Source organism: Homo sapiens, chromosome 5, assembly GCF_000001405.40.
Source record: "Homo sapiens chromosome 5, GRCh38.p14 Primary Assembly".
NCBI classification, from domain to species: Eukaryota; Metazoa; Chordata; class Mammalia; order Primates; family Hominidae; genus Homo; species Homo sapiens.
In genome coordinates this window covers 15,601,841-15,619,834 of record NC_000005.10, presented here as the reverse complement: position 1 = coordinate 15,619,834, position 17,994 = coordinate 15,601,841, and the positions used below count along the sequence as shown (strand labels likewise).

The window sequence follows — 17,994 nt, the reverse complement described above, 5'->3', positions numbered from 1 at the left end:
GTGAACCCTCCCTATCCATCCCATCAGGGAAAAGGCCAACACTTCTGCAAAATGCTTCCAACCTGGCTATTAAAGGTATAGCCATGGTTTTCAAAGACTGCCGGAAAACTGAATATTATCCTTTACAATATATGTCATTTTAAAAAATCAATACCATTCAGACCTTTAAACTAAGAATCTTGCCTGTGCTCCCTGAAGGTGATATTGGCGAATTCAGAGGTGAAAAAATCATGAGAAGCTCAAGGAATTGAAGAAAATAACCATAATCAACTGGCTACTGGAAAGCCAATTACATCCAATATTTTCTTAACATCAAAGGTTAAACATAGTTCTAGAAAACAGTGGGAAGAGAATCCGAGAAGCAGTTTTAGCTTGGCTCCTCTGCAGTCTTGTTACAGGTAGTTAGGTAGGCGTGAGCAGGGCAGGAGACGGCTTCCCATCCCACCCCAACTAGAAATGTCGGTGACGGTTTGGCATTGTCTCTCTAAAAAGTGTAATTCCGCAACCAGGGAGAGACAATCTCCTGATGGTCCACACCTGTTAACATTAAAAGTTGTTAACTGAATACAGACTCCAGGGAGAAACAGCTTCCCGGGAATGCACATTAAAACACAAAAAATGGCTAAGTATGATCTTCCGGTTCCATGCCACCGGGGAAAAAGGAAGAAATCCTCAGATGGGCATGCGTACAACTCCCTAAACACACTGCGCATGCTCAGTTCCTAAGGGTAAAGAGGGCTCCGCGCATGCAGGAAGACCACCCTAAGGGAAGAATCATGGGAAAGAGGTGAGCTTATAAAAGTCCTAGGATCACCGTTAAATGGGGGCACATGAACTTCTCTTTTTAATTTTCAGGTGCCTGCTTGAGTTCCTTCCAAGCGCACCTTCTTTCTTTCCTTTTCTAAGGCCTATATGAGTAAACTTCCATTCCTGCTCTGAAACTTGCCTCGGTTTCTTTTTCTGTTTTATGTCCCTCAGTCGAATTATTTCTTCTGAGGAGGCAAGGACTGAAGTTGCTATAGACCCGTCGGGATAGGCCGCTGGTAATTTGGGGTAACTCAGATCTCTTCCAGTGCTAACAGTCTGAGTGAGAAGTCAGTGTCTGCCTTCTGCTTCTTCCTCAGTGGTTTCCTAGGTGTTTCCCAGTGAGAAGAAAGTTATGCACCATAGTTGAGATCCACCCTCTAGAGGTCAGAGAATACTTCCCTAATCACTTATCCTGAATGGTCTCTTCCTGAGACTATGTCTCCTGTGCGTGGAGGAAATTAGCACTGGCTACTCTGGATCCATATTGAAAAAGCAGCCTGATAAGAGGAAACTAATCATCCCGCAAACATCCCTGAAATACATTTTAATGTAACATGTGCCCACACCTATTCTATGTTTTTTAATATTTTGTTTTAATTGATTAAAAAAACTACAGCAAAAAGGATTCAGACACACAAATAGCAGAACTTAATACTTTCTTTTTTAATTTTTTCAGTTATGCAAGGGAATGGGCAGCATCTTTCATAGGGACAAGCCTCTTCTACTTAAAAGCTAGAAGGAAATTCCTCACTAATTTAGCCCAGTTGCTCAAAACTCTTCCATATGAACATAACATTTTCCTATTTTTCTCGCCTGATTCTACCCTCAGAATAACAGAAAATACATTGTGACAAAATGTATAAAACATTGGCTGGGCCTGCACCTCCTCATAAGGGAAAGGCACAAGAAAATGAAAATTTAAAGCCCCTACAGAGATTTTTTCCCCCTTTGGAAGCATAAAAAGCAGACACTGTTAAATGCATGAGGTCCCACACTACCCTCCCCCAACCCCTGCAACACAGCTGATATAGTTGTGTATTTTCTATTTTTGAAAAGGAGAAAAAATAAGAAAGCTTAAAAAAACAGATTATTTAACCTGCTTTTAACTTTCTATTTGGATAGCCATTCAAATTAGACAAGTTATGGTGACAAGAGTGACTGTAAAACAACGGTAGAAAACATAGATAATCTGGCAAAACAGATTTCTGACTAGAGAGGATTGCACTATGTGTAACTGCAATGATTTCCACTATGGCTCCTAAGAATGAAAGCTTCAAAAGTAAATGTCAGGTCGGGAATGGTGGCTCATGCCTGTAATCCCAGCACTTTGGGAGGCTGAGGCAGGTGGATCACCTGAGGTCAGGAGTTTGAGACCAGCCTGGCCAACATGGTAAAACCCCATTTCTACTAAAAGTACAAAAATTAGCTGGGCATAGTGGCAGGTGCCTGTAGGCAGGAGAATCACTTGAATCCGGGAGGCAGAGGTTGCAGTGAGCAAAGATCGTGCCACGGCACTCCACCCTAGTCTGGGCAAAAGAGTGAGACTCCATCTCAAATAAATAAATAAATAAATAAATAAATAAATAAATAAATAAATAAATAAATGTCTAGAATCAGTTAACGAGATTTGTACATTACCTTAACTGAATTTCATTAATGATCTAATGCCCATACCTGAATTAACAGGCAGAAAATTAAAACTGGATTGCTACCTGGTGCTTCCATACACTGAAAAGAAAGAACACTCCAATCTGCCAGCCTTACGATGTTGGGAAAACGCATCAAACAGTGCTAAGGTTTTAAGCATGGAGAATATAATCCAGTTGTAAAGCTATTAACCCAGAAAAGGTAATTCTTTGCTACTTGAAGCACACTAAGACAAAACATATCAAAGAGAAGACGTATACATACCAGCAGATGTAAACCACATACAATTACAATACATAAATTATAATGCAGATAGAGAGAAATCATGGATCTCAGATGGCCAATGTCAGCCCATGGGTACATGCCCAATATTATGACCAACAGAAATTAAATATCTGAAACAAAAAACTGGAAGTGTGCTTCCGCAACATCCCACAGACTTTAGGAAAGCAGGCGCTACACAATGTCATGAAAATTAGCTGACAGCTCAAGGTCTTTCATTATCAATGGCGTCGATGTTTAAACTGGACTTTAATCCAACAATTAGTTTAGCAACAACTCATTTTCAGACAGAAAGTCATTTAATCATGTTTAACATTAAAATAAAAAGAGCTGATTCTATAATTGGGTCAACTTTCCACTAAATAATTACAATAGAAACAATTAATTCCACACTCAAACAAGTAAGTAGTAACTCAAAAGCTTCCATATTGAAAAGCAGTGGAATTCTAACATGTATTACCACATGCAAATTCTTCATCAAGAAAATCACTGCGACCAATCTTTGTCCTGACAGGAAGGACCTCTTACATATTCTTTAATAATAATAAAGAAACCCCCTTTTTTCCTACTCCCAAATTTTGGAGATTAACTCAAGTTCTACAAATAACATGACTATGATATTGCCACTGTCAAAATCTTGAATTCCAGGTGTGCCTATTTTGAAAGTTCCTCCAGGAACATTCAACTACAGCACAAGGATTTTAAAATAATATCATTTTTTATACGGAAAGACAAGGTATATGATATTGTAAAGCCTTCCCTTAATTCAGCCTATTCCATTTTCACAAAACAACATTTGCCTTATAATTGAGGCACCTGAATCCCGTCAAATCAATTTTCATGAACTGTAACTGCAGCGCAACAACAACAACAACAAAACTTAGGAGACCCTGAACATCCTCATTTTTAAGATCTCATATGCTCCCACTCAGGAGAATAGAACTAACACTCCCACACTTTATTTCTGTTCCAAAAATAGCCAGCCCTGTGAAGAAGAAAGAGAGATAATGAAGACCAGCTGCCTACCTTCGCTGGTAGCCACATTCTTCTGGGCTTTAGTGGGCGTGTGATCTGTACTTGAACTCACGTCAGATGAGATGCTCGAGCTGCCTTTGCCTGGAAGAAACAGGAATGAGCAGCTTTTGAGATTTGTAATTTCAGACCTGGACCATGCCTTCCACTCGGTCCCACAGCAAGCCATATCACCAGTTTCCAAGAAAGCAGCTATAATACAAAGAATGGAGTTTATTAAGTTTTTTTTTGCCTTATGCATTAAATATCTTTTGGGAAATATCTGATCCATGTTATAGGAGAACTAAAGTCTTCTTATAATATAGCTTGACTATAAACTCAGACAAGATTATAAAACGTAGTCAAATATGATAACATAATCTCTTTTTGGCATAAATGTGAATAAGAAAGTACATGTGGGGAACACATCTCCTGCATTAATTTTTTATTTGCAACTATAAATTATGCATTTCTCAGTAAAGGAAATAAGCAAAGAATAAGGCATAATCAGAGGAGCAAGAGCCGCTAACTCCAAATAGCTGCGTCACATCAAAAAATGAATTCCCTGCTTTAATAGGTCCTCCTTCAAAAACAAAACACAACAAAAAACATTTCATTTTTCGAATGCAGCAGTTCTCAACTGGAGATGATTTTTCTGTTCAAGGGGACATTTAGCAATATCTGGTATCATTTTTGGTTGTCACAAATGAGCCAGGAGGTGCAACTGGCATCTAGTGGGTGGAGGACAGGCATGTTGCTAAACGTCTTAGAATGCACAGGTCGGCCGCCACAAGAAAGAATTATCCAGCCCAAATGTCAATGGTACCAAGGGTGAGAATCCCTGGTCTAAATAATCTTAGCTCAAGGCTGAGTTTCTACTCTTCTAACCTTTAATATAATCATATACATTAATATTACCAAACATTCTTCAGATGTCACATGAAAGTCTGTAAATATGAACCACACTCTACTGCCCAGTGATGGAGAAACCTACTGACTGTGGTGCGCAGATTCCTAAGACGCCCTCATGGTATCCATGTCCGCATCATCTCCTCCCCCTTGAGAGTGGGCTGAACCTGTGACTGGCCTCTAACCAACAGGCTATCGTGAAGGTAAGGCATTTTGCAGATGTAAAGTCCCTAAGAAGTTAACTAAATTAATGACAAGGCATATTATTCTGGGTGGGCCTGACCTAATTAGGTGAGTACTTTAAAAGAGGGCCTGGAGGAGAGAGACCCTTCCTGCTGTCTTTGAAGCAGCAAGCCTCCATCAGTTCTGCAGCTACAAGAAAATGAGTTCTGCCAACAACCAAGTGAGCACTGAAGAGGACCCTGAGCATCAGAGGACAGCCTAGCCCTGGCCAATGCCTTCATTGCAGCACTGTGAGACCCGAACAAAAGATCCAGCTAATGCATGTTCAGAATTCTGATTCCAGGAAACTGTGGAATAATAAATGCTCCTATGTTAAGCTGCTAAGTGTGTGGTAATGTTTTTACTCAGCAATAGAAAACTACTGCTGGATGGGCGCGGTGGCTTGTGCCTGTAATCCCAGCACTTTGGGAGACCGAGGCACATGGATCACTTGAGGTCAAAAGTTCAAAACTAGCCTGGCCAACATCGTGAAACCCCATCTCTACTAAAAATAGAAAAATTAGCCAGGCATGGTGGCACATGCCTGTAATCCTAGCTACTCGGGAGTCTGCGGCAGAAGAATCACTTGAACCCAGGAGGCGGAGGTTGCAGTGAGCCAAGATTGCGCCATTGCACTCCAGCCTGGGCAACAGAGTGAGAGCCCGTCTCAAAAAAAAAAAAAGAAAAGAAAAGAAAAGAAAAGAACGCAAGCTATTGCTAATGACCAACTAGTTATATCACAGATGAATTCTTTTTGCTCCACAAGTGATGATCAAAACTCTGATGTGCAGCTGAGAAACATCATTTTCCAACAGTCTTTTCTTCCCAGTGGTAAATGCAATGAACTGAATGTTTATGTCCTTCCAGAATTCACATGTTGAAATCCTAATCCCCAAGGTGATGGTATAAGGAGGTGGGGCCTTGGGAGGTGGTTAGGTCATGAGGACTCTGCTTAGTGCCCTTATGAGACATCCCACAGAGCTTCCTTGCCCCCTTCTGCCACGTGAGGACACAGTAGAAGACTGTTTATAAAGTAGGAAGTGCATCCTCACCAGACACTAAATCTGCTGGCACCTTGATCTTTGACTTGTCGGTCTCCAGAACTGTGAGAAATACATTTCTGTTGTTTATAAGCCCCCCAGTCTATGGTATTTGGTTATAACAGCCCGAATGGACTAAGACAGTACAGAACTCTAGTTAGGTGGCATAAGCTTACAGTCTAAATTCATACAGAGTAGAACTCCTTAGACTTTGGAGTTTTGTTTCCTTATGATGAAAGTCACCGAACAATACAGGCTGATGGTTAATATCACTTGAGGAGGGAATGGCTCAGGTGATATTACCCATGGGAATACCAAGGAACTCAGAAAAATGGCCATCATTTCCTCTCACTATCACCCATTGCTCATTGGGACTTAGGCTCTGAACAAATCTGTTATTCCCTTCGTCCCCACCCCTTCCACAGCCTCTACCCTCAGAGTTAACCAAAACAATGCAGCAATTCTCCATTTGTTTTTGCCTAACCAGCCTTTGTGGCCTGGCAGCTGTGGCCATTTATCTGCCATGGTTCATCTTTGGAAGTGGGTTGACATGGCAGACTGGGCACCTGGTTAGAAGTATGTCCACCTGGCCTCTGACCCCAGTCTACCACTCCCTTGCTTTCTGACCTTTGACATTCACTTCTCACTCTGCAGGCCTAGTGTCTGTATCTGGTAGGGGAAATTTCTGGAAAAATGATTCCTAGCAGCTCAGTCTATAATTCTTTGAGTCCATTACTTTATTCCTCAAACCTCAGTAATCCAAACCACTCCATTTAATAAGGCAAATAACATTATTGTGCAACACCAATATGTAGACTTAAATTATTTTTATTATATTGTTGCTTAGAGATGCACAAATGGAAAACTAGAAATAAACTCCATATGCTCTAGCTCTGATTCAATAATAAAACTAAAACAAAATAACAAATTAAATGCAAAAACAATAAGATCCATAACATTCAAATTAACAGCATTAGTTTAACATGATTGATGATGTTATTTTGCTGAGATTAAACTGTCTTTCAAAATTTAAATACAGTACTCACTGCTAAAGCCAATGTTCTCTTTGTTTTGGCATGCACGTGCCCACTCCCGGCTGCGTGAGGACTCAACCTGCATATCACTTTCCTCTACTCGAACTCAGGGAACCCTTCCCTCCTACAAAGAGATGGCATCAGGTGGCCTTCACTGAGTCTGACTGTATCGGGCACATTTTTAAGACTGCTCTTTTATTGCTTATCCATCTACAAACACTGGAGTAGAGCGCCTTCCTTTAAACATGGGGAAACTTGGACAATATAACTCATGGCAGGACTCTCTTATAAAGGGGAACCAGTACACAGTTATTCATTATTTTTAAGATTATCATGAAAATGAAAGCACAAAATAAAACAACAAATTTCAGAGAAACTTCTCAGACACACGTGAGGACATGTGTGCTGATCCCTCAAAGGGCTGCAAACTCCAATTTAAAAATTGCTTGTTTATGAAGAAAGAGTATAAGGTTGAGGAAACAAATAATAATGTTATTTATAATAATAGCTAACACTAAGTGCATATGTTTCATTGAGCACTCTAATAAATGCTTTACATGCTTTCTCTTATTAAATAGTCATTATGCCCTATGACAGTATTTCTCAATCATTTTCTCATTATTTTACCCTCCAAGGAAACTGTTTAGACTTTTTTTCCCTAAGTACCCCACCCCCAGTGAAATCGCAACACTACAGATATACTGTATATCTCTTATGTACTATGTATGTGATTCTGCTTAATACATTGTTTCTTGGGGGGGTGGATTGTGTCCCCTTAGGAGCAATATCACCACCACTGAAAATCTATGTCCTTTGATAAGTAAAACATTTTTAAATGCCTGAGAATTTAATTAATTAAGGAAGTAAAGATTTTGTTTTTATTTTTGTTTTCTTTTTTTTTTGAAATGGTGTCTCACTCTGTTACCCAAGCTGGAGTGTAGTGGCACCATCACAGCTCACTGCAGACTAAACCTCCTGGGCTCAAGTGATCCTCCTGCCTCAGCTTCCCAAGTAGCTGGAACTACAGGCACACCACCATACCCAGCATTTTTTTTTTTTTTTAATAGAGATGAGGTCTCATTATGTTGCCCAGGCTGGTCTCAAATTCCTGGCCTCAGGCAATCCTCCCACCTTGGCCTCCCAAAGTGCTGGGATTACAGGCAAGAGCCATCATGCCTGGCCAATACAGTTGATTCTCATAACTTGAGATATTTAGGTTCTATAAAGTAACCATAAACACTAAATTAGCAAATCACTGACCCAAAGGGAAACAGAGTTAGGTTCCTGAGAGCCTCTGCTCACAATTTTATCAATTGATCAATATCAATTTGGTTTTTGTGTGTTTCTATTTAAAGACATCTTATTTAATACATATTATTGATGCACTGTCATGGAACTCAATGCCAATGGAACTATAATTCGTGTCTGAGCAAAGCTTATCTGACACATATTGGCGACATCACAGCCCTCTTGCACTTAGGAACACTATACAGCTCTTCAACACTACACTTGGGGGTCATCTTAATGAAAACAGCAAGAAAAAGTACAAAAAGCAAAAAAAAAAAAAAAAAGTGGCAAAACATGGACCCCAAAAAGAACACTGTGCATAGTAGGAGAGCTGAGACAGGAAGGCAGAGTGTCACCTTGTTCAGCCTTATATGGGAAGGTGTGTGTTGCGCAACCCAAATTTTTCACCACTCTGCATGTATTTGTGAGTGACCCTAAAAGTGCCTCAAGGATTAATTTGGTGATTACATAAATTTTAGCAAGTAGGCAAATTCTCAAATATGAAATCCACAAATAATGAGGACTGACACTGTGTCATCTTGTATTACATGTGATTTTGCAGCTTGCAGCCCGCTTACATGTAGATGGGGATAGGTAGCATGGAAGATCTGGAGTGAAGAGGCCTGGGTTTGTATCTGGATTGGCCAATTATTAGTTTTGGGCAAATTAATAGACCCTCTCTATTGTAGTTTCTTTTGTTTCTTCAGCTGTAAATGGGGCTGGGTGGAGGGTCAATTCCTGCCTCATAGGGTTATTGTGAAAATTAAATAAAATAATTCAGTTTGAGTACTTAGGGTAGTGTGAGCACCTAGGAAATACCCAACAAATCTTTGTAGAAAAATAATTCAGTTTCTGTATTTAGGATATCGTGAACACCTAGGAAATAACCAACAAATCTTTGTAGAATGAGGTTCCTATGTTGGATACCATGATATGCTCTTCTGCCCTGCTTCTGGAAGCAATAACCATCTCCTTGTTGAGTTCAAGTGGAGAGGGAGGCAGGGAGGGTGGTGCTCAGAGAAGAAATGTTACAGAAGGAATTCAGAGGGAAAAAACAAGGGGAATATTCAGCTGAAGTCTGCAGCATGACGACATTCTTGCAAGTCAAGCTATTGTCTCAGGAAGGAACTGCCTACATTCTCAGCCCTTTTAGAAAATCAAGAGTGAGAATGTCAGATTAGACCCTGGAGTTGTACATACGGAAAGTCCAGATAAGAGGGAGGTGGTGTGAAGAGCACAGGAAGCCACCCCATGGTGACACTGGAAATGACCAGGGGCAAGAGAGGCACAGGAGGGGAGCAGCCAGATTGCACTTTGGTTTCCCTCTCTGGGATTCTTCTGAGAAAAAAGAGGGTGTGTTGGAGAAGGTATGGTTTGGCTGGGTCCCCACCCAAATCTCATCTTGAATTGTAGCTCCCAAAATTCCCGCGTGTTCTGGGAGGGACCCCTGGTGGGAGATAACCGAATCATGGGGGTGGTTTCCCCCATACTGTTCTTGTGGTAGTGAAGAAGTCTCACAAGATCTGATGGTTTTATAAGTGTTTTCCCCTTTCACTTGGCTTTTATTCTCTCTTGCCTGCTGCCATGTAAGACGTGCTTTTTGTCTTCCACCATGTTGTGAGGCCTACCCAGCCATGTGGAACTGTGAGTCCATTACACCTCTTTTTCTTTGTAAATTACCGTCTCACGTATGTCTTTATCAGCAGCGCAAAAACAGACTAATACAGAGAGCAACTCTAGAGGCTGTAGAATTGCTGTCACCTCAGTCCCTATGCTAAGGATGCTGCATAGCACCTGCCCTCAAGACTGCTCAGCCAGCAGCTAGAACCATGGCTACATCAAGCTGCCGGGTAGCACAGTCCAGCTCAGGGCAGTCTTCGCTGCAGCTTCTGGAGTCACCTGGGTTTCATGGTGACACTGACATGACCACAAGTCAAGGAAAGTCTGTTGGGGGCTTGCCTTAGGGAGTCAACACAGTGGAGTGAGATGCTTCTATTAGCCGCAACAAGAGAGCAGATTGCCATGTCAGGGGCAACTGGGAGGCACAGTCAGAACTTGGCATTAGGAAACAATAAGAAACACTGGCACAGTGATAAACTGAATGAAAGGATGCTTGACTAGAATAAAGGACCAGCACATTCACTCACAAAAGACACTCACAAAAGACACCAGCAATAACTAAGCTGTGCTGGTTTTAAAATATGTCCACAAATTCTTTGGCATTCCCACTTCAAAGGCTGAAGCCTCATTTCCCTCCCCTTAAATGAAGAAAACTCTGGGGGTTGAACCTGTGCCTCAACCTGCCCTTCAGGTGGCTCTGATTCATCAAGTGTGAGAAGCAGGCAGCGGCTTGACCTCTCCATTAGCTGTACTGAGAACCCAGGATGATGCAGGTGAAATGGGCAGCCCAGTGAGTAGCACACTAAGGAGTGTGTAATAAACATCAGCCACTGTTATATCACCCATCAGGGCTGCCTGCTTCATGTGCAGTTGGAGTGATGGGGAATCTGTGGTTTACAGTGTTAAACAGCATTGTTTCTGGAGGCAGAGTTGGCTTAAAACCCCACCTCAACCATTTCCACGCCACACATATGCTCACGTGCAAGTCTGTCAAACTCTAAGTCTTGTTTCATTGCCAGTAACACGGGGATAAAAACCTTTCACCTTCTGTAAATGGGTATCATACGGCCCATGCTTTGATGTCTGTATCAGTCAAGGTTCTCCAGAGAAACAGAACCAATGGAGGTTACATATGTGTATGTGTATGCATGTGTGAATATATATGATTTTTTAAACTTGAATTGTTCACACAATAGTTGGGGCTGGCAAGTCTCGAATCTGTGGGTTATACTAGCAGGCTGGAAACCCAGGCAGAAGTTGAGGCTGCAGGATTGTGGCAGAATTTCTTTTTCTTAGTAAACCTCAGATTTGCTTCTAAGGTCTTCAAGTCATTGGATGTGGCCCATCCATATTATTATTTTCAGAGATAATCTCCTTTACTTAAAGTCCACTGATTGTAGATGTTCACCACCTAACAAAATACCTTCACAGCAATATCTAGATTCATGTTTGATTAAATACTTGGTACTATAGCCTGGCCAAGTTGACACATAAAAGTAACCACCACAGCAACAGACCCATATGGATTTAAATTCCATAGCTACCACTTCCAAGCAACATGCTCAGGTGAACATCTCTCAAACTTTCCAAGCACTCTTGTGTCAACCATAAAATAAAGATATGCACACGCAAACAAAAGACAGCCATTAGCTCTACCAAAAATGGGGAGGACATTACCCAACCTGCAGGGTTTGGGAGAGGCTGCTATGAGAAAAAAATGAACCCTGGCAGGTAAAGCATGAAACCATGACCAATGCCTGTGAGAACCCACACTATGAGTTATTAATATTGACCCATTATTTCAATTTATATCACAAATTAAGAAAGGAAATTTAAAATAATTATTTTACTATTAGATAAATGATAAAATAAATATTATATATGCACATACATTATACATAATTTAAATATCCAGGAAAAATCCACTCTTTCTAACTGCTTTACACACATGAAAGTTTATTTGTTTATTTGACCAATAGCTAAACCCCCATTAGGGGCCATTAGTACACTGGAACTGTGCTGGTCAGATTCGGTAAAGTAAAATTTTGTGCCTTCTTTAATTTCCTCGCAAGTGGGCCAAAGGCCCAAAGGAAGACAAATGAAAAAACAAGTAGGTATCAAATACAAACAAACATCAAAGCAAGGGAAAACGAACACACTAAGTTTGGTAAATGTTATCTGTAATAGGCTAATATATACACATACAATTCTGAGCCGCTGAAATCAGTTAGTGGATCGATAATTTTGGTCAAATGGGACACACTATTAACTCAGCAATGTTAGCAGAAGAATGTCCTGGTTTTTTCTTCCTATCACGCATTCCCTTGGGCTGTCTGTTAGAGCGTGCCAGGTTTTCCTAAGGCTTGAAGATAATGTTCATTTAATGGGGAGTCCTTTTAGTGAGGGACTTTACGTTTCTTTTAATTTAAGAATTCCCATAGGTACTATGCAAAACTAAGTTTCTTCTCTTTTCTCATTTCTAGTGCTCAAGACAGTTAATTTATTAATATTATGACACAAGCAAGATAAAGGGCATAACAGAAAACAAATCAGTGGGGTCATATGGTTACCAACACTCTTAAGAGTCTAAGACATCTCTTGCAAAACTGATTCATGATATCTATTCCAGATCATACGCACTGCACTGGTTACATGGATTACAGCTGCAGACTTCTAACACAAAATCCACACACAAGTACACGGACCCAGGTGGAGGCCTCAGCCCCTTATTTCCTGCTTCTCTCCACTGTCTTATTTTCAAGCTGCTACTGGTGCACCATGAGAACCTGATTTAATACTAAGTGTCCATACCAAAGGTAAGTGAATTTTTTTCAAGATCTCAGAATCAGATCAAGGGAATGGTGGGTCATATTGGTGTGTTGAATTTACTGTTATTTTCCTGACTGGTATCTTGAAATAATTTCTTATCTTCTTTGATCCACAGTTCAATGTCTGTCCCTACAGCATAATATAACATCGGTTATCTCAAACAATTGATCTGGCTTAGTTCCTGGCCCAGGTGCATATTAGTTTTTGGAAGAAACTGAATACATATTGTAAAAGTGTATTAGCTCTTTCAAGCCAAAGGGGAGTGATTAAATAGATGACTTCTCCAGGGGTGGAGGCCTTCAAGTGGGGCGAGATGAGGAGGCAGAGAATCCTAAGCACTCTGTTTCATTTTCTTGTGAGCAAAAAACATGAGACAGTGTCCTTTGTTTTTGATTCTGGTATTCTTTGTTCCACGCGGCAAAGATTAGAAGCAGGGGCTGGGGAAGGAGAGGGCAGGAAAGGAAACGAAACAGAAGGGAAATTGCTAAAGTCATGTTTTCCTTTCTTCCTTTCAAGCCACTGAATGTCCTAACTGGCACTTTCTTTACACTGAATGTTCTAACGAGTACTTTCTTTACACTGAATGTCCTAACTGGTACTTTCTTTACACCAAACCATCTAATAAGCGGCCTCAGGGCCACTGAGCAAGATACCCATGTCTATAACTGGAGTGATCCAGGATGCAGTCCACAGATGAATTCTTTAAAATCGCTATAAGCCATGACCTCATTGCCTACACATAGAGCGGAGAATTCCCACCACAGCTGCTGTCTTGCTATGTCACTGTGCTTATGCAAGCATGAGAATATACATAATCATACACGCATACATGTACATTGTGTGTGTGTGTGTGTGCACGTGCGCATGTATGTGTGTTCTGCTAGAGTCACAGCATGAAGACATGATAAAGGCCTTCTAGGATAACGGGTCAGAGTTAACCTCTAGAAAGAAAACTGATCAAAAAACCTATAAAATAGAAAAAGAAAAGATAGCCCTCTAGTGAGGTAGCATATTTCTAAGGATGAACTGAAACCTTCATAAGAATAACCATGCCCTGTTACATGGGACCAGCTGAGTCAATTTTATCAGCCTCTTCTTTTTGTAATGTTAAAATAATTAATTGACAGATAAAAATTACATATTTAAGGTGTATTATGTGATAATCAGATATACATATATTTTACAATGATTGAGCACATATTTCACATTAGCACTTGACTTGGGACAGGGTCTCTTCCCCTAAGATGCTGTCATTCTACTGGGTTTATGTCCAGTCTAAGAAGGCCAAAGACATATTTTAGCATTTGCGCCATTGCCAAATGACAAAGTGAAGCCACCATTCAGAAGCAAGATCTGGTTTAGGGTGCTTGCTATTTTTAATTTTTTTAAATTGTGGTAAAATGTACATAACACAAAATTTGCCATTGTAATTGTTGTAAGGATATAACTCAATTGCATTAATTACATTCATAATGCGTGCAACCATCTTCACTATTTCCAAAATGTTTTCATCACCCCAAAGAAGCTCTCTGTAACCATTAAATAATAACTCCTCATTCCTCCCTCCCCTAGCCCCTAGTAACATCTAATCTGCTTTTGATCTCTATGAATTTGCCTGTTCTAGATATTTCATACAAGTGGAATTACACGATATTATTTCTTCTGTATCTAGCTTATTCCACCTAGCATAATGTCTTCAAGGTTCACCCACATTGTTTCATATATCCATGTTTCATTCCTTTTCATGGCTGAATAATATTCTACTCTGTGTGTATACCATATTTTGTTTATTCATTCATCTGCTGATGAACACTTGGGGTGCTTCCATCTTTTGGCTATTGTGAATGCTGCTGCAATGACGGAGTGCTGGAATTTGACTGCTTGTGGTTTTTCACTTTTGAACTTCTACTGCTTGTTGTTTCCAGCTGAAATCAGATCCAGCTCTGTGGCTGGAGCAGAGGAACAAGGCACACAGCAGTCTTCCTGGAGAGAAAGGAGACAGTCCCACTGCTGAGTCAGCAACTGCCCTGCTGCAGCCCCAGGATAGGCAGAGAGCTTGGGTTTAGGGAAAGGATTCCACCCAGTATAGTGTTATCTCTGAGCAGGGCTGTACGGCCAGTGCTACTGGCCACAGTGAATTCAGAACAGCAAAGCAGGAGATGTCACAAATGCTAACAGAGCAGATGCAGATCACAGGATCCCTGCACACACCTGCTGCAAAGCGCCCCTCTTCAACAGCCAGTGGATGACTAGGGGATTCCCCTTATTGCCTAAATGGGGACTCATCACTTTCTCTGTGGGAAAGGCCAGAGCTACAGCCTCAACTGAGATGGAGAGAGCCGGAAGGACTGTCCCACTCAATACCACACAAGCAAAACGAAAATGTGAAATGGAAATTCCTACTTTAACACATACAGGGCCTTGAAGCATAGAAATCATTTAAGTCGAGTTAGCTAAAGGGTAAGCAGAGAAAGAATTAAATAGAAGTCATCTGTTGGGCGTGGTGGCTCAGGCCTGTAATCCCAGCACTTTGGGAGGCCGAGGTAGGTGGATCACTTGAGGTCAGGAGTTTGAGATCAGCCTGACCAACATGGCGAAACCCTGTCTGTACTAAAAATACAAATATTAGGCAGGTGTGGTGGCACACGCCTGTAGTCTTAGCTACTCCAGAGGCTGTGGTATGAGAATCTCTTTAACCCGGGGGGTAGAAGTTGCAGTGAGCCAAGACTGTGCCACTGCACTTCAGCCTGAGCAACAGGGCAGGACTCTGTCTCAAATAAAATAAAATAAAATAAAAGTTATCTAAGTTGATCAGCAATCATTCCACATACCAACTTTTTATTGGTGGAGAAGGGTTTTCTTAGACAAAAATCTCAATTAAAATCAATCCATTGTGCATTATTCCTAGAGGATGTAATAGCTAATAATGAAAAGAGGAAAAGAACATGACTTTCACACAGTCCTCCCTTTTATTTTTTTGGAGACAGAGTATCACTCTGTTGCCCAGGCTGCAGTGCAGTGGTATGATCTCGCCTCACTGCAACCTCTACCTTCTGGATCTCAGCTTACTGCAACCTCTGCCTTCCGAGTTCAAATGCTTCTTGTGCCTCATCCTCCTGAGAAGCTGGGATTACAGGCATGCACCTTATGCCCAGCTAACTTTTGAATTTTTAGTAGAGACAGGGTTTCGCCATGTTGGCCAGACTGGTCTTGAACTTTTGGCCTCAAGTGACCCACTCGCCTCAGCCTCCCAAAATGCTGGGGTTACAGGTGTGAGCCACCACACCTGGCCCCACACGTCCTCTTAAACCCAGAGAAGGTAGCAGAAGGCTGAAAGTCATGTTTTCCTTTCTTCCTTTCAAGCCACTGAATGTCCTAACTGGTACTTTCTTTACACTGAATGTTCTAACGAGTACTTTCTTTACACTGAATGTCCTAACTGGTACTTTCTTTACGCCAAACCATCTAATAAGTGGCATCGGGGCCACTGAGAAAAATACCCATGTCTATAACTGGAGTGATCCAGGATGCAGTTCACAGATGAATTCTTTAAAATCGCTATAAGCCATGACCTCATTGCCTACACAGAGTGGAGAATTCCCACTGGAGGGCATGGAGCCAGAAGTAAGGCTTGGGCCTGAATTCTGGCTTTACTAACTGGATGGTTGAGCTTGAGGAAGTTCCTTACTTTTTCCATACCTCAGTTTCTTCATCTGTAAAATGGGTAATAGTCAAGATAGACTCATAGAAGTATCATGAGAAAAAAAATGAAGTAAATAAGTAAATTGCAAGTAAATTGCTTGGAATGGTACACACATAAATAATCAATTAGCTATTAATCATCCTAATATTCTTAATCAATAATTCAATTTAATTCAAAAAATACATGCTAAACTTATTGTATGCAAAGGATTACGGTTAGCACTAAAAAAAACAAGACACAGTTCATATTAGGCTAGGGAGATAAAGCACAGACAAATAAATGGAATGAAACATAAATGCAGTATGAGGTTGGGCAGTGGCTCCTGCCTGTAATCTCAACACTTTGGGAGGCTGAGGCAGGAAGATCATTTGAGGCCAGGAGTTCAAGACCAGCTGGACAATATAGCGAGATCATGTCTTGACAAAAAATATAATTTAAAAAAATTAGCCAGTTGTGACGGTGTGCACCTGTAGTCCTAGCTAGTTGGGAGGTTGAGGCCAGAGGATCCCCTGAGCCCCAGTGTTCGAGGCTGCAGTGAGCCATGATGGTGCCACTGCACTCCAGCCTAGGTGACAGAGAGACCCTGTCTCTAAAAAATAAAAATAAATTTTTAAAAATCCAGTATGATTAGTTTCAAAATGGGATCCTTAAGTGACATTCTCAAACACTGTTTTATTTTCTTTTTTAAGAGTATTTTATTCTTCTTTTTGGGGGGAGGGTAAAGGGACTTGGGATCTGAAGATACTTGTCCAAGGTCAAAGGGTTGACCAACATACAAATACTAGTTTCTTAACAAAACTTCATTATTGTTTAGTACGACTGCTTTTTTAAACATTGGTAATAAAAATATTTAGGTTGATTAGAAACAATCAAGCCTGTCTTCTGCACTTGATGGTCAACTCCATGAGAGTAGGCTCCATGTCTGCCTTGTCCCCTCCCACATCTCCAAAAGTAGGACTGTGCAGGGTATGTTAAATGTGTTGAAATAAGAGAAGTAACTGCATGAATAAACTAGAAATTTATTCCTAATGGAATATCCCTGGTCCATAACATGTTCTAATAAGCACTATCCCCTCCTTACCAGCACCATTCAACTCTGTGCCACCCACCAAGAAACAAGAGAGTTTTTACACAATGGCTACTTGTAGAACCTCCGAACTACCTACAGAGTCCCCGTGGTGACATGCTGTAAAGTACTCCGTATTTGTTTCCACTAACTGGGTGATTGAAAATAATAAAAATTTATTATCTGACAGTTTTGGAAGCTAAAAGTCTGAAATCAAGGTGTCATCAGGGCCATGCTCCCTGCAAGGGCTCCATGGAGACTCTGATCCATGCCTCTGTCCTCACTTCTCGTAGTTGCCAGCAATCCTTGGCATTGGTTGGTTTGTGCCAGCAGAACTCCAGGTGCAGCCTTAGTCATCACATGGCTGTCTTCCCTCTGTGTGCCTCTGTGTCTCTTTTCATAAGGACATCAGTCATATTAGATCAAGGGTCACCCTACTCAGTATGTCTCTATCTTAAAACTAATTTTATGTGCAACAACCCTATTTCCAAATAAGGTCACATGCTGATGTTCCAGGAGGGACATACATTGTGGGGT

General features: G+C 40.9%; 1 protein-coding gene and 1 long non-coding RNA gene across 6 annotated transcripts in view; one reads left to right on the top strand and one right to left on the bottom strand.

The window, feature by feature from the left end:
• The window catches only part of FBXL7 (F-box and leucine rich repeat protein 7), a 439,614-nt gene that overhangs the window by 319,959 nt on the left and 101,661 nt on the right, over positions 1–17,994 (bottom strand). For all 5 annotated transcript variants that reach the window (NM_012304.5, NM_001278317.2, XM_017009262.3 and 2 more), the window contains one exon: positions 3,763–3,852. In NM_012304.5, coding sequence (NP_036436.1) covers positions 3,763–3,852 — 90 coding nt within the window. Of the gene's footprint in view, positions 1–3,762; positions 3,853–17,994 lie in introns of those variants that run through there.
• On the top strand, positions 4,833–17,646 carry CTD-2350J17.1 (uncharacterized LOC101929472). The gene is made up of 3 exons (NR_109945.1): positions 4,833–4,859; positions 12,489–12,675; positions 17,476–17,646. It is a non-coding gene; the product is annotated as an uncharacterized LOC101929472 (long non-coding RNA).